At 35.8% G+C, this 21,185-nt stretch overlaps 1 protein-coding gene across 13 annotated transcripts in view; it reads left to right on the forward strand.

Annotated features, from left to right (window-relative positions):
* PCDH11X (protocadherin 11 X-linked) overlaps window positions 1-21,185 on the forward strand; it is an 843,856-nt gene that overhangs the window by 695,561 nt on the left and 127,110 nt on the right. The gene's annotated exons all lie outside the window — the stretch shown is intronic.

The following is a 21,185-nucleotide window of genomic DNA, read 5'->3' on the forward strand; positions in this document are numbered from 1 at the left end:
CGGGTGGATCACGAGGTCAGGAGATCGAGACCATCCCGGCTAAGACGGTGAAACCCCGTCTCTACTAAAAATACAAAAAATTAGCCGGGCGTAGTGGCGGGCGCCTGTAGTCCCAGCTACTCGGGAGGCTGAGGCAGGAGAATGGCGTGAACCCGGGAGGCGGAGCTTGCAGTGAGCCGAGATCCCGCCACTGCACTCCAGCCTGGGCGACAGAGCGAGACTCCGTCTCAAAAAAAAAAAAAAAAAAAAAAAAAAAAAGAATAGTTTACACACCAAAGTTACAGTGTTATAATATTCTGTATTTTTTGTGTATTTACTATTACCAGTCAGTTTTGTACCTTTGTATGAATTCTTGTTGCTCATTAACATTCTATTCTTTTTAATTGAGGCACTCTCTTTAGTATTTCCTGAAGGACAGGTCTGGTGTTGTTAAAATCCTTCAGCTTTTGTTTTTTGGCTGAAGTCTTTATTTCTCCTTCATGTTTAGAGGATATTTTCACCAGATATACTATTATAGAGTGAAAGTATTTTTTCTCCAGCACTTCTTTAAATATGTCATGCCACTCTCTCATGCCCTGTAAAGTTTCCACTGAAATGTGCTGCCAGATGTATTGGTGCTCCATTGTATGTTATTTGTTTGTTTTCTCTTGCTGCTCTTTCTAAAATAATCCTTTCTTTATTTTTGACCTTTGGGAGTTTGATTATTAAATGCTTCGAGATAGTCTCTTTTGGGTTAAATCTCCTTGATGTTCTTTGGGCTTCTTATACTTGGATATTGATAATATTTCACTAGGTATTGGAAGTTCTCTTTTATTATTTCTTTGAGAAAACTTCCTACTCATATCTCTTTCTCTACCTCCTCTTTAAGGCCAGTTACTCTTAGATTTGCTCTTTTGAGGCTGTTATCTAGATTCTGTAGTTGTATGTCATTACTTTTATTCTTTTTTCTTTACCTCTGTGTATTTTCAAATAGCTTATCTTCAAGCTTACTAATTCTTTCTTCTACTTGATCAATTCTGTTATTAAAAGACTGATATTGTTTGGCTGTGTCCCCACTCAAATCTCATTTTGAATTGTAGCTCCCATAATTCCCATGGGTTGTGGGACGGACCCAGAGGGAGGTAACTGAATCATGGGGATGGGCTTTTCCCATGCTGTTCTCATGATAGTGAATGAGTCTCATGAGATCTGATGGTTTTATAAAGGAGAGTTCCCCTACACAAGCTCTCTCTTTCCTGCTGCCATGTGAGATGTAACTTTGCTCTTCCTTGCCTTCCACCATGATTTTGAGGCCTCCCCAACCACGTGGAACTGTGGTTAAACTTCTGTTACCTTGTAAGTTACCTAGTCTCGTGTGTGTCTTTATCAGCAGTGTGAGAATGGACTAATACAAAGACTCTTATGCATTCTTCAGTATGTTAATTGCATTTTTCAGTACCAGAATTTTTACTTGATTCATTCTAATTATTTCAATCTCCTTGTTAAATTTATCTAACAGACTTCTAAATTTCTTCTCTGTGTTATCATTGAATTTCTTTGAGTTCCCTCAAAACAGCTATTTTTAATTCTCTGTCTGAAAGTTCACATATCTCTATTTCTCCAGGATTGGTCCCTGGTGCCTTATTTAGTTTATTTGGTAAGGTCATGTTTTCCTGGATAGTCTTGATATTTATGGATTTTCATCTGTGTCTGGGCATTGAGGAATAAGGTATTTATTGTTATCTTTGCGGTAGGGACTTGTTTGTACTCATCTTTCCCAGGAAGGCTTTCCAGATATTTCAAAGAACTTTGATGTTGTGATCTAAAATATATCTGTATTAGAGAACGCAAGAAGCCCGAAGCCCAGGACAACTTTTTAAGTTTAAGAACTAAGTAACTGTGGTTCTTGCAGGCTTGTATAGGTACTGCCTTGGTGGTTTTGGACAACATCCAGAAGAATTCTGTAGATTATCAGGCAAAAACTCTTGTTCTCTTTTCTTACTTTCTTCCAAAAAAAAAAAAAAAAAAATGGAGTCTCTCTCTCGCTCTCTGTTCTGAGCTGCCTGGAGTTATTGGTGGAATGACACAAGCACCTCTGTGACCACCACTACTAGGATTGTGCTGGGTCAGACCCGATGCCAGTACAATACTGGGCCTCACTCAAGGCCTGATACAACCTCAACTTGACTACTGCCTATGTTTTCCCAAGGCCCTGGGGCTCTACAGTAAGCTGCTGGTAAGGCCTTTCAGGCCTGTGTTCTTCCCTTCAAGATGGCGAATTTCCCCAGGCCCCAGGTATGTCCAGATGTGCCATCCAGGAGCCAGAGACTAGCATTAAATACCTTAGATGTCTAAGTGGTATTCTATTGTACGGCAACTGAGCTGGCACTCAAACCACAAGATGCAATCCTTCCCACTCTTCTTTCCTTTTTCCAAAGGTAGAGGAGTTTCACCCTGTGGCCACTGCCAACATGAGGCCATGGAGAATACTGCCAAGCTATTGCTGATGTTTCCTTTAGGTCCAAAGTCTCTTCAGTCAGCTTGTGATGATTGATACCTGGCCTGGGACTCACCCTTCAGAACAATGGGCTCCTCTCTCACCCAGGGCAGGTCCAGAAATGCTGTCCAACATCCATGTCCTAGATGTTGGACATCTAGGTCCACTTCGTGCTCTACTCCACTGTGGTGAGCTAGGACTTAAGGTCCAAGACAAAGTTCCCTTTTCCCTCCTCATTTCTCCATCAGAGGGAGTCTTGCCCCCTACACACACAGCAGGAAATGTGCTGATTGTAGCCTGAGTCCAGCAAGTCTCAGAATTTCACCCAAGGCACTAGAAGTATTGCCTGGGTATTATTGCTGGTCATTAATCTTCTGTGATCATTATTTGTATTTCTGTGGGGTCAGTGGTAATATCTTCTTTGTCATTTCTAATTGTGTTTATTTGGAACTTTTCCCTTTTTTTCTGTATGAGTGTACCTAGAAATCTGATATGGTTTGGCTCTGTGTTCCCCTCAAAATCTCATCTCAAATTATAATCCCCATGTTTCCAGGGAGGAACATGTAATCTCCATGTGTCAAGGGAAGGAGGTGATTGGATCATAGGAGCAGTTTCCCCCATGTTGGCCTTGTGATAATGAATGAGTTCTCACGAGATCTTATGGTTTTATAAGTGTTTGACAGTTTCTCCTTCACATGTTCTTTCTCCTGCCACCTTGTGAAGAAGGTACTTGCTTCCCCTTTGCCTTCTGCTATGATTATAAGTTTCCTGAGGCCTACCCAGCCATGTGGAACTGTGAGTCAATTAAACTTCTTTCTTTTAAAAATTGCCCACTCTCGAGTATTTGTTTATAGCAATGTAAAAATGGACTGTTACACAATCTATTTCACTAATTTAAAAAAAAACCTCCTAGATTCATTCATCTTTTGAATGTTTTTTCCTGTCTCATTTTCCTTCAGTTCAGCTCTGATTTTGGTTATTTCTTGTCTTCTGCTAGCTTTGGGCTTGGTTTGATCTTGCTTCTCTAGTTTTCTTTAGTTGTGATGTTAGGTGGTTCAATTGAGATTTTTTTAACTTTTAGATGTGGGTATTTAGTGCTATAAATTTCCACTTTAACACTGCCTTAGTTGTGTCCCAGAGATTCTGCTATATTGTATCTGTGTTCTTATGAGTTTCAAATAACTTCTTGATTTCTGCCTCAATTTCATTATTTACCTAAAAGTCATTCATGACCTGAGCAAATTATACAATTTCCATTTAATTGTATGGTTGTGAGCAATTTTCTTAGTCTTGCTTCCTAATTTGATAGTGCAATGATCTGAGGGAGTGATTCTTATTATTTCAGTTCTTTTGCATTTGCTGAGTAGTGTTTTGTGTCCGATTATGTGGTCAATTTTAGAGTATGTGCCGAGTGGCATTGAGAATAATGTACATTCTGTGGTATTTGGGTAGAGATTTCTGTAAATGTCTATTAAGTACATTTGGTCCAGTGCGGAGTTTAGTTCCTAAATATCTTCATGAATTATCTGTCTAATACTGTCAAAGGGTGTTGAAATCTCCCACTATTATTTTGTGGGAGTCTAAGTCACTTTGATGATCTCTAAGAACTTGTTTTATGAATCTGAGTGCTAATGTGTTGGGTGCATATATATTTAGGACAGTAAGGTCTTCTTGTTGAATTGAACCCTTTACCATTATGTGATGCCCATCTTTGTCTTTTTTCTATATTTGTTGGTTTAAAATATGTTTTTTCTGAAATTAGGATTGAAATCCCTGCTTTTTTGTTTTCCATTTGTTTGTATATTTTTTTCTATTCCTTTATTTTGAGCTCATGGGTGTCACTGCATGTGAGATGTGTCTCTCAAAGACAGCATAACAATGGGTCTTGGTTCTTTATGCAACTTAACAGTCTGTGCCTTTTAATTGAGAGCATTTAGCTTGTTTACATTCAAGGTTAGTACTGATATGTATGGATTTGATTCTATCATCATCATGTTAGCTGGTTATTCTGCAGACTTGTCTGTGTGGTTCTTCATAGCGTCACTGGCCTGTGTAATTCAGTATGTTTTTGTAGTGGCTGGTAACTGCCTTTCCTTTCCATATTTAGTGCTTCTATCAGAAGCTCTTGTAAAGCAGGTTGGTTGGTAATGAATTCCCTCAGCATTTGCTTGTTTGAAGATAATGTCATTTCTCCTTCATTTGGGAAGCTTAGTTTGGCCAGATATGAAACTCTGGGTTGAAATTTCTTTAAGAATGTTGAATATAGACCCTCAATCTTTTCTGGCTTGTGAGGTTTCTGCTGAGAGGTCTGCTGTTTGTATGATGGGGTTCTCTTTTTAGGTGACCTGACTCTTCTCTAGTTGCCTTTAATTTTTTTTTTTTATTTTGACCTTGGAGAATCTGATGATTGTGTTCGGAATGATTTTCTTGTAAAGTATCTTACTGAGGTTCTCTGAATTTCCTGAATTTGATTCTTGGCTTGTATAGCTAGGTTGGGGAAGTGACCATGGATGATATCCTGAAATATGTTTTCAAAGTTGCTTCCATTCTCCTCGTCTTTTTCAGGGACAACAATGCTTCATAGATTTGTTCTCTTTCCATAATTCCATTTTTTTTGGAGGTTTTATGTATTCCTTTTAATTCTTTTTTCCCTATTCTTGTCTGACTGTATTATTTTAGAAAGCTGACCTTCAGACTCTGAGATTCATTCCACAGCTTGGTCAATTCTGCTATTAATACTTGTGATTGCATTATGAAATTTTTGTAGTGTGTTTTTCAGCTCTGTGAGCTCAGTTATATTATTTTCTATAAAGACCTATTTTGTTTGTTAGTTGTTGCGTCATTTTATTATGATTCTTACCTTCTTTGAATTGGGTTTCAATGTACTCCTGCATCTCAATGATCTTAGTTTCTATTCATATTCTGAATTCAATTTCTGTCATGTCAGCTATTTCAGCCCAGTGAAGAACCGTTGCTAGAGAGCTGGTGTGGTCATTTGGAGGAAAGAAGACACTGTGGCTTTTAGAGTTGTCAGAGTTCTTGCACTGTTCTTTCTTGTCTTTGTGGGCTGATGTTCCTTTAGTCTTCGAAGTTGCTGTTTTGTGAGGTTTTTTTTTTTTAATCCTATTAGATGCCCTTGAGGGTTTGGTTGTGGTACAAGCTTGGTTCAGTCAACTGGCTTCATTTCTGGAAGAATTTGGGGGGCCAAGTCTCTGCTCCCAACTTCTATACTACGTGCTGTAACTCTGGGAGACTGGTATTGGGCCCTGTCTTTGTTCTCTGGCTCCTCAAAGTTAGGAACCCAATGTGCTCGGAAGGCTGAAATGCTCCCAGACTACTGATCACTACACTCTGATGGCTGGTGCCAGCCAAAACATTTGGTAGGTCAGTGGCAGTGGGATCTGTCCTTGTTTGCATGTGCCAGCAGCAGTGACAGTGGCAGCACTGTGTGGTACCTGCATGTTGGCTGTGGCAGGGCACCTAGTGGGTATTGGGGTACTTGTCTCCCTACACACATTCACAGCAGCGACAGAGGCAGCATGGCTCTCTAGGATGGGGATCCCCTCTGGTGACTGTGCATGTGGTCATACTGGTGGTGGTTTTAGCGCAAGGGCTGGACGCTGTCAGGTGCAGGTCTTTGTGCACCCTCTATGTGCATTCATGCAGGCAGAGGTCCCCACTCAGGGAATGTGAGGGTCTGCTGTTCTCTGTTCCTAGTTTCACTCTGGAAATAGCATTGGCACAGGGGCAGGGGCCTGGTAAAGGTGGGGCTGCTGGGCTCTGTGCCCACCAAGGCTCTGACTGCAATGACAGTACAGTGGGGAGAGAGGAGGTGGAGTGAACTCATGCTGGCAGCAGTGGAAGGGCAGGGTTCACACACACACACACCCCACACACACACACCCCACACACACACACACACCGAGGGGACACGGAATGCAAAAGCCACCTCACACACACTCACCAGCAAGGCAATATGGGGAAGGGCCGTGGGCCTGAGGGTAGGTGCAGTTGAGGGAGGGAGGGTGTGAGCTAGTGCATGGCCATGGGCTTTGCTCTGCTGGAGCTCTCTGCCAGTGTGGTGCAGTCCACCAGTGCAGGAGCTATGATGTGGGTCCCCAGGGCACCAGAGGTTGCACCGCAAAGAGGCAGAGTCAGGCTGGGCCTCTGGGACAGGCCAGCAGACCAAGGGGTGCGCAGGTTGGACCATCCCCTTCTGATGGGCCTGCAGAGTTCAGGTCTGACAGTTCCTCTAGGGATAAATTCTCCTATTAGAGCAAGTCAAGCCTGGGGGGTGAGAGTCCCTGACCATGCTCTGCTACAGACGCTCCCGCACCAAACCCTCTGCGCTCCTCACTGGATGAAAGGCTGCCCTTACTACTTCTCTAAGCAGCTCTCTCTGCCAACGCAAGTGTCTGTGGTAGTCAAGTGGTTTCCTACTGCTGGGATTCCAGAGGTCCATGGTGAGTGCTAATTGCTCCTTGCCAGTTCAACTTACCTGTTCCCTTAGAGTTACTGGGGGCCAGGAACGAGTCCTGCTGCACAGTAGCCCCTTGCAGTATTCCCAGCTTCCTCCCTCTTCAGCCCATTTTTGTCTTCCCTTTGTCCACTCTCAGTGCCTTTCCTCTGAAGATCTGTTAGGAGTGCAGCAGCTGTCAGGATCCCTCAGTGGCAGCCGTTCCACCTGGCTGCTTCTAGTTGGCCATCTTGCTCAGCTCCAATCATTTAACCTCTTAAAGTCTGTTTACTCATTTGTAAAATATAAATATCAATAGCAACTATCACAAATAATTTAGCACTGCCCCTTAGACATCGTAGATGTTAAATATTATGCTAATACAATAATAGCATTCTTCTTTTTCCATTATTTTTTTTTCTAGATTGAACTTTTATTGGCTACCCACTTAGCTTTTAGGCAAAATCAATTTCATTTTGTTTTTATTTCAAATATTAATAAAAGAGGCACTGCTTGTTTTCATTAACCTGTGAAATAATTTTCTATGAATTAGAAAATACAGCTGTGTGCATAATTCTGTTCTTTTATCATTATTAGTATTTTCAGCCACTTTTAAGAAACAGAGGAAATAATTTTTTTACGAGTTTATCAAATTATCTTGTAATTGTTAAATACACCTTGAAGTCTCCATTCCCATAACTAAATCTGGTTTGTCTTTTACCTTTAATTAAGCTAACCTCTCTGTTTAGTAATGTCTAACTGTGAAGATGATAAGCCAGGTACCAATGTTTAACTTGCATTTTTTTAGCATATTTTAAAACTTCAGTGAAGTCTTGATGTAAATGAATAGATGTATGTATATAAATCTATGGTTATAGTATCTGTTACTCACACATGTCTCATTAAAATTATTGGGAACATTCTTCCTTTACTTTGTTTTTCTCTTAGTCTTCAAAGTTTTATGTGTAGACTCCTTATAAATAGTTTAAATCAGATTGTTAGTAATAAAGAGGAATATCACTTTAAGAATCTGACAGCAATATTTGCATTTTAACATCCATGGGAACAGTATATTGTGTCTAACTTAAGTATCTGACACCAAACATTAAACATAATATTTCCTTTCTAATCTTATCCTTTGATACATTTTAGTGTATGAGGTATTTCAAGGAAAGATGTGAAACATGTAAATTAATTGTCTTTTTTATCCCTCAAAGATAACCAAGGTATTTATTAAATTCCCTGAAGCCGTATGACAAGACATACAGCTAAACTCAAACTAAATTATCTGGCTCTTGTAAGCTTTATGTTTGACATCATGATAATCCATATTTTGTTCTTTTACAAAAGTGATGCAATGAATTTATAAATTAACACAGAGACATTGGTTACAATAATTTCATAAAGACAAAGAGAAGCCTCACAATTGTGACACCGGGCTTGTTTGACATTCCTTGTACCTAAACAATTTATTACCTTTTACACTATAGTCAGAGGTAGTGAACTATTACTGGAAAAATGGTATTTTCTCCATGCATTGGAATTTGAATTATTCCTCAAAGGCAGTTCTTGCAGTGGGTAATGTTCCTCGTGTTGTCACTTGGCCAACAGACTGTACCTTGGCATGGGAAAATTTGTCAGCTTTTTCACATGTGACACAGATGTTGCTTTTAATGATGCATTTAAATAATTTTGCATAGAAAGGGAAGATAAGATTACATAAAAAGAAAAATAGTTATTCAAGACTTATGAAGGCTCAAGAAACTGGAGAGCCAATAATACACTCTGAATAAGGTCTATGATCTTTCACTTATGAAGAATTTACACCCAATTTTCATAAATTACATATCGATGTGTTATAAATTATGTACTTTATTTTATTTATAAAATTATGTCCAACATTTTGCTAAAGTTCATTATACAAATTCCGAAACAAATAATATTGTTTATTTTAGATTTGGTAGTTTAATGACGCCATTCATTTAACGTAAATATGTTTCATTGTGAAAGAACATGGGAAGAAGAATGACTTTGTCATACATATATTTTGTTACATTTGATCCAGCAATCCCACTACTGGGTATCTACCCAGAGGAAAAAAAGTCATTATATGAAAAGGATACTCGCACAGGCATGTTTATAGCAGCACAATTCACAATTGTGAAAATGTGGAACCAGCCCAAATGCCCACCAAACAATGAGTGAATAAAGAAAATCTCTGTGTGTGTGTGTGTGTGTGTGTATATATATAGTATATATATGTATATATGTATGTATATATATGTATATATGTATATATGTATATATATGTATGTATATATATGTATATATGTATATATGTATATATATGTATATATGTATATATGTATATATGTATATATGTATATTTATACATATATATGTGTATGTATATATATGTATATATATGTGTGTGTATATATATACATATATATATATGCTAGATCGAATGGTACATCTACTTTTAGTTCTTTAAGACATCTCCATACTGTTTCTCAAAGGGGTTGTACTAATTTAGATTCCCTTCAGCAGTGTAAAAGTGTTCCCTTTTCACCACATCCATGCCAACATCTATTAATTTATTATTTTTTCATTATGGCCATGTTTGCCAGAATAAGGTGGTATCATATATATATATGTACATACCATGGAACACTACTCAGGCATAAAAAGGAACAAAATAATGGCATTTGCAGCAGCCCGGATGGAATTGGAGACCATTATTCTAAGTGAAGTAACTCAGCAATTGAAAATCAAACCTCATATGTTCTCACTCATAAGTGGCAGCTAAGCTATGAGGACGCAAAGACATAAGAATGATACAATGGACTTTGAGGACTTGGGGGAAAGGGTAGGAGAGGGGTGAGAAATAAAAGACTACACATTGAGTACAGCATACACTGCTTGGGTGATAGGTGCACCAAAATCTCAGAAATCACCACTAAAGAACTTATTCATGTAAAAAAAATTTTTTTAATGTGATTGCTGTATAAAATGAGGAGGAAACATAAAAAAGGATGAGTATAAATTAAGACTTTAGATGAATATTCTTAAATTGTATTAAAACTGATTTCTATCAAAGACCAATATAAATTTTTGAAATTGTTTCTTTAAAAATTAATTATACATATTCATTTTCATACATTTATTAATACATATTTGTTTGTATTTACATATAAAATGAGGTCTGAGATTTTTCAGATAATAAGATTTCATAGTTATTTCAATAATTACTATTGTAGCAAAAATTATAAATATAGGCAATCATATTTGGAGCAATCTTTCATTGTTTATATGGCTCAAATTTTTAAGTATAATTAAATTCAAGTTTTTAAGTATATTTAAAAAGATGTCTAACATAAATATATAATAGTGTATTTACCCCAGAAACATTAGTAATTAATGATAAGAATAATGATGTAGGAAAATATCAGGAAGGCTTCATCTATTTTGTAAAAATGTTCACATGTTTTTATACATCATAAGAAGCACATTTACAATGAAGAATAATTTGGCCTTTATAATAATGTAACAAGATGACATAATTGCTCCTCACAATTAGAAGCTATCTTTAAGGTCTGAAAGGACATGCAATCTATCTGATTCGATGTATTATTTTTAGTAATCAATGAAATTTCAGTTACTTGTGATAATAAAGATAATATTATTTTTCTTTAAGATATAGCCTTGCATAATAATAGAAAGATTGATGAAATGGCCAGTTATGTTAAACTTAGAAGAAACATTTCTTACTAGAAAAGAACATCTTGTAGTTCTCGAAACTCATTTTTTTTCTGTCAACACAGCAAAAATTGAAAATATGTAAAAAGTCTTATTAAATGTAGAGCTGAAAATGTAGAGCTGAAAGCCTCTTCAGCCTGCCTATTGAATTAGCAAATACAAAATTGAGTACTTTGATTGATATCACCCTGCCAAAGATTCAGCCAAGAGAATTTGGGTAGCTTTATTAAAGCTGGGTTGGACGGTGAGTCTGAGCATTAATTTTTTATGTAGTAGAACACAGGGTCAAAGCTTGCCTTCTGGGACTGCCTTTCCTTGTATTATAATAGATTATCAGATTGAAAAATACTATCAGAATACAGAACAGAGTATAGAGATTAAGTGCTAGCTATTTATACATCAAGAAACATGAATTATTTTGATGGCTGTTGTTATTATGTAACATAACAGTAACTCCCCCAAATACCCAAACAATAAGAAAATGTAAATTATCTATTTTAACTGTTAACTGGACGGTGGAGGTGAGTGAGATTCACTGATTGAATGGTACAAAAGGCATTATATTTAACATAGAAAGTTGTAAATTTTTTACAATCTTATTTATGAACACTTGCATTATGGTTGAAAATGAAGGCTTTCATGAAAATAAGCCTATATAAATATATGAAATAATATGCAGGACACATGTGACCCTTATTTATTCCCCATTAGTTTTTTATAGTTTGAACGTCTAATAGTTTTGATTTTTTCATCTGAAAATGTGCAATAGTAACGTGTTAGAACAAACATTTGTGAAACACTTATATCACAAATGCTCAATATATATTGGTTTCTCATTGCAATAAATGACTGCAAAATCATTAAAAGTAAAAATCATTGACATAAATGCAAAGATGTGAAAAAGTAAATTGACTCTCACAAGTCACAATTTAAAATATCTATACACTTCTATTTTTAAATTTCTTTCTAGAATAAAATGTACTAACTCTATCCATTATGCTCCAACTACAATTGCATCATAATTAATAATTGATATATTTTCTCTGCTGTATCCATTCCATATATTTCCAGGAGAGCTATTTTGCTTGCCAAATATTGATATAAGCAAATAAACTTACCAGATATTTCTGATTTTTTATTATCACTCACCCAATCAAGGTACAAATTGAGAACAACATTTTTAGCATATATTAAGCAGAGGTAAGATCATCATCTTGTCAAAGAAGGATTTTAGTATATCTTTTTAGAGATAATGTATTGCACTTTTCCAAGTGTCATATAATACTTTGTTAAATTTTAAATTGAAGTATTACATTGTGAAGCCACAGAACTCCATGATTATAGATAAAGTGCTTTTCTTAGCAAAGCTTAACTGACATGACAAATATATAGTTTTTTATTATCTCTGAGAAATATGCTTCCTTTTTTTTTTTTTTTTTTTTTTGAGACAGAGTTTCACTCTGTCGTCCAGGCTACAATGCAATGGCATGATCTAGGCTCACTGCATCCTCCGCCTCCTGGATTCAAGCAATTCTCCTGCCTTGGCCTCTGGAGTAGATGGGATTACAGGCATGCACCACTACGCCTGGCTAATTTTTGTATTTTTAGTAGGATGGGGGTTTCACCATGTTGGCCAGGCTGAACTCTGAGAAATATGCTTTCTACTTTTTTGTTTAATTTGAACTTGAAAACAAAACACACACAACTTCCCAATTGGATTAGACTATTAACATTTCAGAAAGGATGTAAGAAAGGACTAGAGAGATAGTACTTAATGTTTTTAATTTTTTAAACTTTACAAACTTAATACTGTCATCCTATTGTTCAGTTAACATACCTGAATCCTAAATTTCTTCAGATTCTAAAACAAAAAGTTCCAGATGATTTTATATTACACTATTTACTTAATGGTACTTAAATCCTCATTAAAAAAAGAGTATGGTTGTTAAATCTTCCATTAGAAATTCTGAGCCTTTACTCTGTGTCAGGCCTTGTGGTAGGAGCTGGGCTTCAGAAATAAGTATACTGCAATCTGATTCCGGGAAATATTTAGATTCATAAATAGATAATTTTAACATAATATAGTAAGTGAAGATGGAGGTATAGAAAGGGTTTTCACCTCTGGAGAAATAAGAGGGGTATTTAGAATAGGTCTCTTAACTAAGAGGCCTAACATTTTTGTCTGTGAATCCATAATATTGGCAAACTAATAATGTGTACACACCACTGACAACAATACTTTATCCTTTGATGAATACCCTACAATGGTGTGATTGAATTGGCTTCCAATTAATTTCAAATTCTATATATCAAGAAAAGGTAGATATATACCAGATGGCGTCTCACTCTGTTGCCCAGCAGTGCAGTGGCACAATCATGGCTCACTGTAGCCTCGAACTGCTGGGCTCAAGTCATCCTCCTGCCTCAGCCTTCCCAGTAGCTGTGACTATAGGCATATGCCACCACTCCTGGACTTGGATAATGTTTTATTAGAATCATATAGCATAATGATATCTTTTGTTAACCTCTCAACATCAGTATCATCTTTGTGAAGTGAGAGCGCATCATCAGATTATAAGAAATGACAGGAGGACTGTATACTTGGGAAAGTTTTGTTCAGTGTCTTGAGAATTAACAAATATTTATTTTTCTAGAATAACTTGAATGTAAGCTCACTAGAATGTAAGCTCTATGATGGCAGCAGTCTTGTCTGAGTTGTTCACCTGTGTTTCTGTAGTTCCTTCAACAATATCTAGCACATAGAAGGTTTTTAATAAATATTCATTCAGTGAATTTCTACTTAATGTAGCAATCATTTGTCTATTCCCTTAGTAAAGTCTAATTGATCTAGGTATCTTACAAATATATACAAGACCTGGACATAATAACTAAGGTAGAATTTTTGAGCTAATTAGCTACTGGAAAACTCAAATTAGTAATTATATATATTTTTATTATATACCTGTATGTGTTATTATATATTTATACCTCTATCTATTAGACTCAGGCAAGCTTGAGGAAGTTGTTGTTTGTATTCTAAATTCTGTATTCAAAATAGTTTCAATCTGGCCTGCAGAAAAAGCTGAATTAGTCTCAATATAAATACAACAAAACGCTTATTGCCAAGGAGAGGCATATACCATGCAAATTCTGATCTGAGGGAATTTCAATTGTTTCAAAAGCCATGATATTTGGGTTCCTCTGGATTCTAGCATTACATAAACAGGAAGAGAGGTGAAAATAAGCAGTAGTGATATAAAGAAGTTTCAGGATGGCAATTTGAAATCACGTATTCCAGCTCAACTTTCTAGAAAGTGACACCTGCAGCTTTGTGGGGGTGTCTTCATGCACAAGCTAAATTGTACCTGTTCCAAATGGCCAGATGCACCTATACTCTGAATGTGGGTATACACCCACATTTACCAAGCATTTTAAAATATGCTCTTTAAAGCATAGTTTTGTATCCATTCTGATGACTTCTAGCCTGTAAACACAGGACCCGTGTTAATTTAACTTTTAGTATCACAATAGAATGGCATTTTTTAAAGTATAGTTATGATGGTATCATACAACCAGAAATCTAGATGTGAATGAGGTATTTCACTCACTTTTGACCTCTTCTGCTTTACTCCTATGTCCAAAAAAAGAAAACAAGGCATGGAGGTATATTTCTGGCATTATAGGTGGGTGAAAGGCGCCCACTATGAGCTCTGAGCCGAAATGTTTGCCACAGGCTTAAATAACTAATTAGGCTTGGGGAAGACAATGGCTACTTAGAGACATACACCTATAAACTCGGGCATATTTACGCTTGCATATTCATTTACCACAGAATTTATTTATCCGTTATCTCTTCTCTCATGATATTTCTGTATTTTTCTTCTTGGGCAGAGCCAAGTTTTGTGAGTTTATTTGGTCATTTTCTGCATGTATCCCGACTCCTGCTTTTTTTTTCCCCTTCAGATCCACATGCAGCTCAACTGAGGACATAATAATATATCTCTTCTTTCTCACTCTCTTCTGTTCTTACTATCAAAAATATTCCTAAACCATCTACCTCTCCACCTTTTTAATCAGTTTTACCTATTTCATTTTTGAAAATAAGAGGAATTATGCCACAAAATTTATATATATATATAAATTTTTATATATACACATATATATAAAAATTTATACTTACACATATATATATATATCCATTAAATTGCTAATATTATCACATCAGCCACTTTACTAAACAACATGATCTTACTTGGACCCAACAAATAATTAATTCTGGTATGTTATTTTTAACATCTATAATTATATAATAATAATAACACTAAGAACAAAAACAACAATAACGACATAATAGTTTTTGCAAATAAAATTGATATTCAAGGCAGAAAGATATACAACTTTGTAAGCATAGTAAAGCAATATAACCCTTCTCCTTGTAAAAAAGCAGAAAAAAGTTTTCCTGATACATAAACATAATAGTTTATAACTGATGCTAGTAGATGAAAGAATAGTCAATACATTCTTAGTACTTCCAATGCTAAGAACTTGCCCAAAAGAGATAGGAGAGATCCTTGTCCTGAAAGAGTAATGAGAACATCAGAGTCAAGTTAGTAGAGAGGTAAGGACATGAATTATTTTTGGAGTAGATCAACTAATTATATGATTTGTAACAATAAAACTTAAAATATAATTTGTATTTCCTAAATTTCTACAGGTTTTTCCCTTTACGTCACATATTCTGCGCTATTTTTCTTCCTTGCATTTATTGTGATGAAGCTGTCAAGTTTATGTCAGAAATAGGCGTTTACAATGAACAAAACCTACACTGTGAATCTGGATGCAGGATGAAGTTATGCACATCTAGGAAATAACATGCTACATCCTGTATCGATGATCCTGAAAGATCTTTGCATTTACAATGAACCTGTCATCAGTAGAACTTAAGCCAGATGTCAGAAAGAGAGTCCAGAGACCATGGTTCTCTATGTAATACACAGAATGGAAATGGCATGAACAGTGACACTGAACTTTTGTGCCCTGTCTCACTATCATGCGTGCCCAGGAGACCTTGTTCTAAGAGAAAAAGAAAGAAAGAAAGAAAGAGAGAAAGAGAGAAAGAGAGAAAGAAAGAAAGAGAAAGAAAGAAAGGAAAGAAAGAAAGAAAAGAAAGAGAAAGAAAGAGAGAGAGAGAAAGCAAGCAAGCAAGCAAGCAAGCGGGCATTTGGTCCTTAGGACATTTAGTGAAATGACAAATGGAAGAACAATTAATGACAACTGTGAGTTTTGGGGCAGATCGTAGGGAATCCTAAGCTGAGAATTTGACAGCCAAATGACTATAATTAACTACGAAAAGGTCAACTAGAAAAAACAAGGCACATACTTAAGCAGACTCTTGTTAAGCTTGTCTTGTGGTCTGTTTTGTGATCTATTTTCATATGAACTGAAACAGGTCTAACTTTCAAAAGGAAGAAAGGTAAAATATGAGTGACCATATTTTGTCTATTCATATTCATTTAAAAAATATGGCTTAACTGTTATTCCCAGAATCGTAGTTCAAATTTCATTAAAGTAGTTTAAAAGGGAAAGAGGAGGAGAAAGACAGCAAGGAGAAAGAGAATGCATACTACATAATAAATCGCACTTTGAAAATTCCAAGGTCCCTCGTAAAATTATGAAGAAGTGAAATTGAGCAAGTATAGTGCATTCCTCCCTGTATTGCATTTCCAGAAGTATGTTGTATAGTCCTAACAGCTTTATACAAGAGATTTGGCTTGTTGATATCTTGTATTCAGTCTCTATTTTTAGTTGTGTATTTATGTATTTATTTTTATTGTCTATATTTAAGGTGTTCAACGTGATGTTTTTGTACACCTCTGCGTAGTAAAAAGATCACTACAGTCAGACAAAAACATTAACCTACCCATCACATACCATAGCTACCATTTTTTAAATAGTAAGAGTGCTTAAAATCTACTCTCTTAGTAAACTTTTTGTATACTATACAATAATATTAACTATAGACCTCATGCTGTACATTATTAGAACTCTAGACCTATTCATCCTACATAGCTGCAACTTTTTACTCTGTGACCAATTTCTCCCCATTTTCTCCCTCTCCTTACGCCTGATAACCACTGTTCTACTGTTTATTTCTATGTATTTAACTAAGTTTTAGATATTAAATATCATTGAGATCATGCAGTATTTTTCTTTCTATGTTTGGCTTATTTCACTTAGGATAATGTCCTCTAGACTCATCTCTGTTGTTACAAATGGTAGTATATCCTTTTTTAAGGCTGAATAATATTATGGGATATCAAGAAGTCCCAAATTATTTATAGCACAAAAATATGGTTTATGTTGGCAATAGCTGGCAGGAAGCTCCCTGGTTTTGAATTTAATATAGGCAAATATGCACTAATCGGAAAACTGTAGTCTTTAATGGTGACAAATCATACTCTTTCAAAGTTTACATTTTATCATCAAACTTACATTATTTTAGCTGCTTATAAGAACTACTGTGAGCTGTGATTAATTTGCTTTCAATTTTTACATTTTCTGTATTTATTATTTTTTGTGCTAATTGGCTCTGAGCCTCTGGATACAATTTGAAGAATTAGAAACTACTTACATTTCTACAATAAAGTAATGAGCCACTTAAACTTTGATGTAACCCACATTATATTAGGAGACAATATTTTTATATCAGTGGCTGTGACAAACAAGTGGCTGTAATTCAATTAGTTTGAATTTGCATTTTCCAGCATAACAACCTTTATTGTGATATTATCTTCACTTCTGAGTAGCTAGATATGAAGTATTCAAATAAATTTCTATGCACATTTTTTATGTCACATAATCATTTTATTTTGTTCTCTCTCACAATTTTTCATAGTAAAACATGTTTGCTTTGGAGAAAGCTGTATTTTTTGTGCATTAATGAGCTGAAGTAAAACTATCATTATGTCATTGATTAGAAATTGAGGTAGCAAAATTCTCCCCCAGCTGGGTGCACAATTGTGGGAAAGTGTGTTTCAGATCCATCTCTGTGTACAAAAAGGAATGGAATGTACTTTGTCGAGATCATTAGTGCTGACTACACATATGTGAAAATTCAGAAGAGATAGGTGCTTGATGACAAATAGAACTTATGAAACAAGCATTAGTGGGACTAATTTTTATAGATAATTGGAACAAAATTTCCTAAACTTTTTCTTTCTGTTCCTTATGATAATCTCTTCTTTCATTTTCCAACAAGCCTGCTGTGCATTTCTTAAATTTATCTACCACATAACTGAATGACAGTTTAAAACTGAGATAAAGCTTGAGAATATGCAAACATCTTTATAAAACATACTTGAGAGCCCGTTATTTAATGTTGAATATTGTATGATTTTTCTAAATGTGAGCAAATAATATAATTATAATGTTTTCTTTTTTCAAACTCTGAATTATGTAAAACAAACATATATTTTGTAAGTATCTATTTAAAACACAGCTATATGGATGCACATTGCATATACTAAAAGGTCATAAATACAGATCACACTGTATGAGACTACAGTAAAGTTCAGTGAGATAATTTACTTTTACTGCAATGGTAATTTTTTTTTTAAATTGTAAAGTTTCATTTTAGTAAGAACTTCAAAGCAAGATGAATAAGCCCTAGAGATCTGCTGTACATTGTGTCTATAGTCAACAATACCATATTGGACACATAAAATTTAAGAAGGTAGATCTCATGTTGAGTGCTCTGACTACAATAAAGTACAATTTTCTTAAAAGTTGTTATCAGTAAGTTATAGCATTGGAATTGTAATGTAATGAACAGGGCAGTTCATACATCTTTTTTTTTTGGCCTCCTTAGAAGTCAATAAGGTAGTAATGTGTTCATTTCTAGGTCAAAACCCATTTTTAGGAACAAAGTTATGAGAAGCTTTCATTCAAGACTTAGACTCTGAAGAACGCAGAAACTAGAGAACTTCAGTAGTAAAACTTACATAATGTTTGCCCCCTTAACTTTTTTTTTTTTTTTTTTGAGACAGAGTCTCACTCTGTCACCCAGGCTGGAGTGCAATGGCATGATCTCGGCTCACTGCAACTTCCTCCTCTCAGGTTCAAGCAATTCTCCTGTCTCAGCCTCCTGAGTAGCTGGGATTACAGGTGCACACCACCATGCCAGGCTAATTTTTTGTATTTTAGTAGTGACGGGGTTTCACCGTGTTGCCCAGGCTGGTCTCAAACTCCTGAGCTCAGGCAATCCAACCGCCTCGGCCTCCCGAAGTGCTAGGATTACAGGCGTGAACCACCACACCCGGCTGCTCCGTTAATTTTTATATCCCTCTCTTGCCAACAGGTTTTTTTTTTTTTAAGGTTATTTTCTTTCCCTTCACAAGGCTATGTGATGTAATGCAAAGGAAAATGAGAAGCATCTGCTGAAGAGTTAAACACCCATACCAAAAGAACCATTTCGCTATTTTGCATATTATCTATTCTAAAGGTAGTTAAGAGATCCTCACCCTGAACTCAAACGCAATTCAAAAATTTCCTTAAACAAAATCAGAGTGCAATTATTGGACATGAAATAGTAAAGAGGTATAAGTTGTTTAGAACATTTTATTTTAAAATAACATGAAAGTCATGCATATATGGTCAGTCCTAAGTCCTTTTCATGTTATTTGTGATTCAAGAGATATATTTTGTCCTGGCCTCTCAATAGGATGTCAGTGCACTTTTGTCTTCTCTGCATGAACTGCCAAGCAGTTTAACAGATCAGAACATCTAGCCCCTGTTAGGAGTATTAAATATCACTGTCAGTTTATTCTATGAAAAATGAAGTGTATGTCAGCGGGGCTGTCATGCTATATGTACAAACAGTTGACCTTCCACTTTGTTTCAGGAAAGAGGCTGATATTTGATTTTCTTTTTTTTAATCAGCCTTGTTTTTGCCAGTGGATTTTTTAGGCCGGCACCACTGTAATCCATTATTTCTCACTGACAATACTGAATTTACATAAAACATTCAAGAAAATGCAATTGATCTACAGCTATGTCCTCTTTTTGAAATAAGGCAATAAGGCATCAGGGGCTGAATAGTTGTGAAAGCTCTTTGACCTGAAGTATCAGTAAATGCATAAGATTTATGAATAGTTCACCAGTATTTGTCAGCACAACAGAACATAAACATTTGTATTGCTGGGTGCTCATTTTACAGTTGTTTATAGAGACTACAGGGTGCCATTCTACTGTCGACGACTCTGCGCTAGATACAAAAGTATCACTACATTGGGATTGTATTTTCCTATAGCCAAGTAAATTCATGTGATAAGATGTAAACTGAGGCTCAAAGATATTAGGAAACTTGGTTGTAGTCATACAGTTTTACATGGAAGAATTGATATTTAAACCCTGATTTGCCATACCCAAGAGTTCTTTCCTCTGTATGGCATACCAGATTTTTAATAGTGAGGTTCCTTGAATATTTACATAAAATATTTATATACTGATACAATCCTTTCTTTATTTACTATTCTCTTTCATCAACTCAAGCGAATTGCTTAGCATAATAAAACCTCCATAAATCTGCATACCGTCTCTTTCCATACTGATTTCTCCAGTTGCCCCTCAATCCCAATGCTTTAAACAATCCAGATAATCTTAGGTTCACTTAATGATTCATGCGGCTTCATGTGCCTGCTTATATGCTATTCTGTTTGAATGTCCACTTTGAAAACACTTCTCATCTTTCAACACACAGTCGCAGTCAATTTTTTTTTTTTGTAATGCTTTCCATTTCTCCTCCTTGAGGTAGAATTGAGCACTCTCTCCTCTGTGACATCACTATACCCTATATGGACTGCTGTCATACCAGCTAAGATAAATTTATTATGTATTTTAACGAGTTTATTGAGAAATAACTGACAAATTACAAATTGTCCATATGTAAAGTATGCAATTTGGCATATCAGTAAACATTCGAAATTATCACCACTGTATTATTCCATTTTCATGCTGCTGATAAAGATATACCCGAGACTGGGAATAAAAAGAGGTTTAATTAGACTTTCAGTTTCACATGGCTGAGGAGGCCTCAGAATCATGGTGGAAGGCAAAAGGCACTTCTTACATGGCAGCAGCAAGAGAAAATGAGGAAGATGCAAAAGCGGAAACCCTTGATAAAGCCATCAGATCTCGTGAGACTTACTCACTACCACAAGAGCGGTATGGGGGAAACTGCCCACATGATTCAAATTATCTCCCACCGAGTCCCTCCCACAACACATGGAAATTATGGGAATACAATTCAAAATGAGATTTGTGTGGGGAGACAGAACCAAATCATATCAACCACGATCAAAATACTGAACATATTTATTATTCCTAGAAATTTTTTCATTTTCCCAGTACCTACTGCATTGACTACCATTTTAGATTTTATCAGTTAATTGGTAAATATGTATTGACTGAAATAACTTTCTTTGGCAATATAATTCT

Source organism: Homo sapiens, chromosome X, assembly GCF_000001405.40.
Source record: "Homo sapiens chromosome X, GRCh38.p14 Primary Assembly".
NCBI classification, from domain to species: Eukaryota; Metazoa; Chordata; class Mammalia; order Primates; family Hominidae; genus Homo; species Homo sapiens.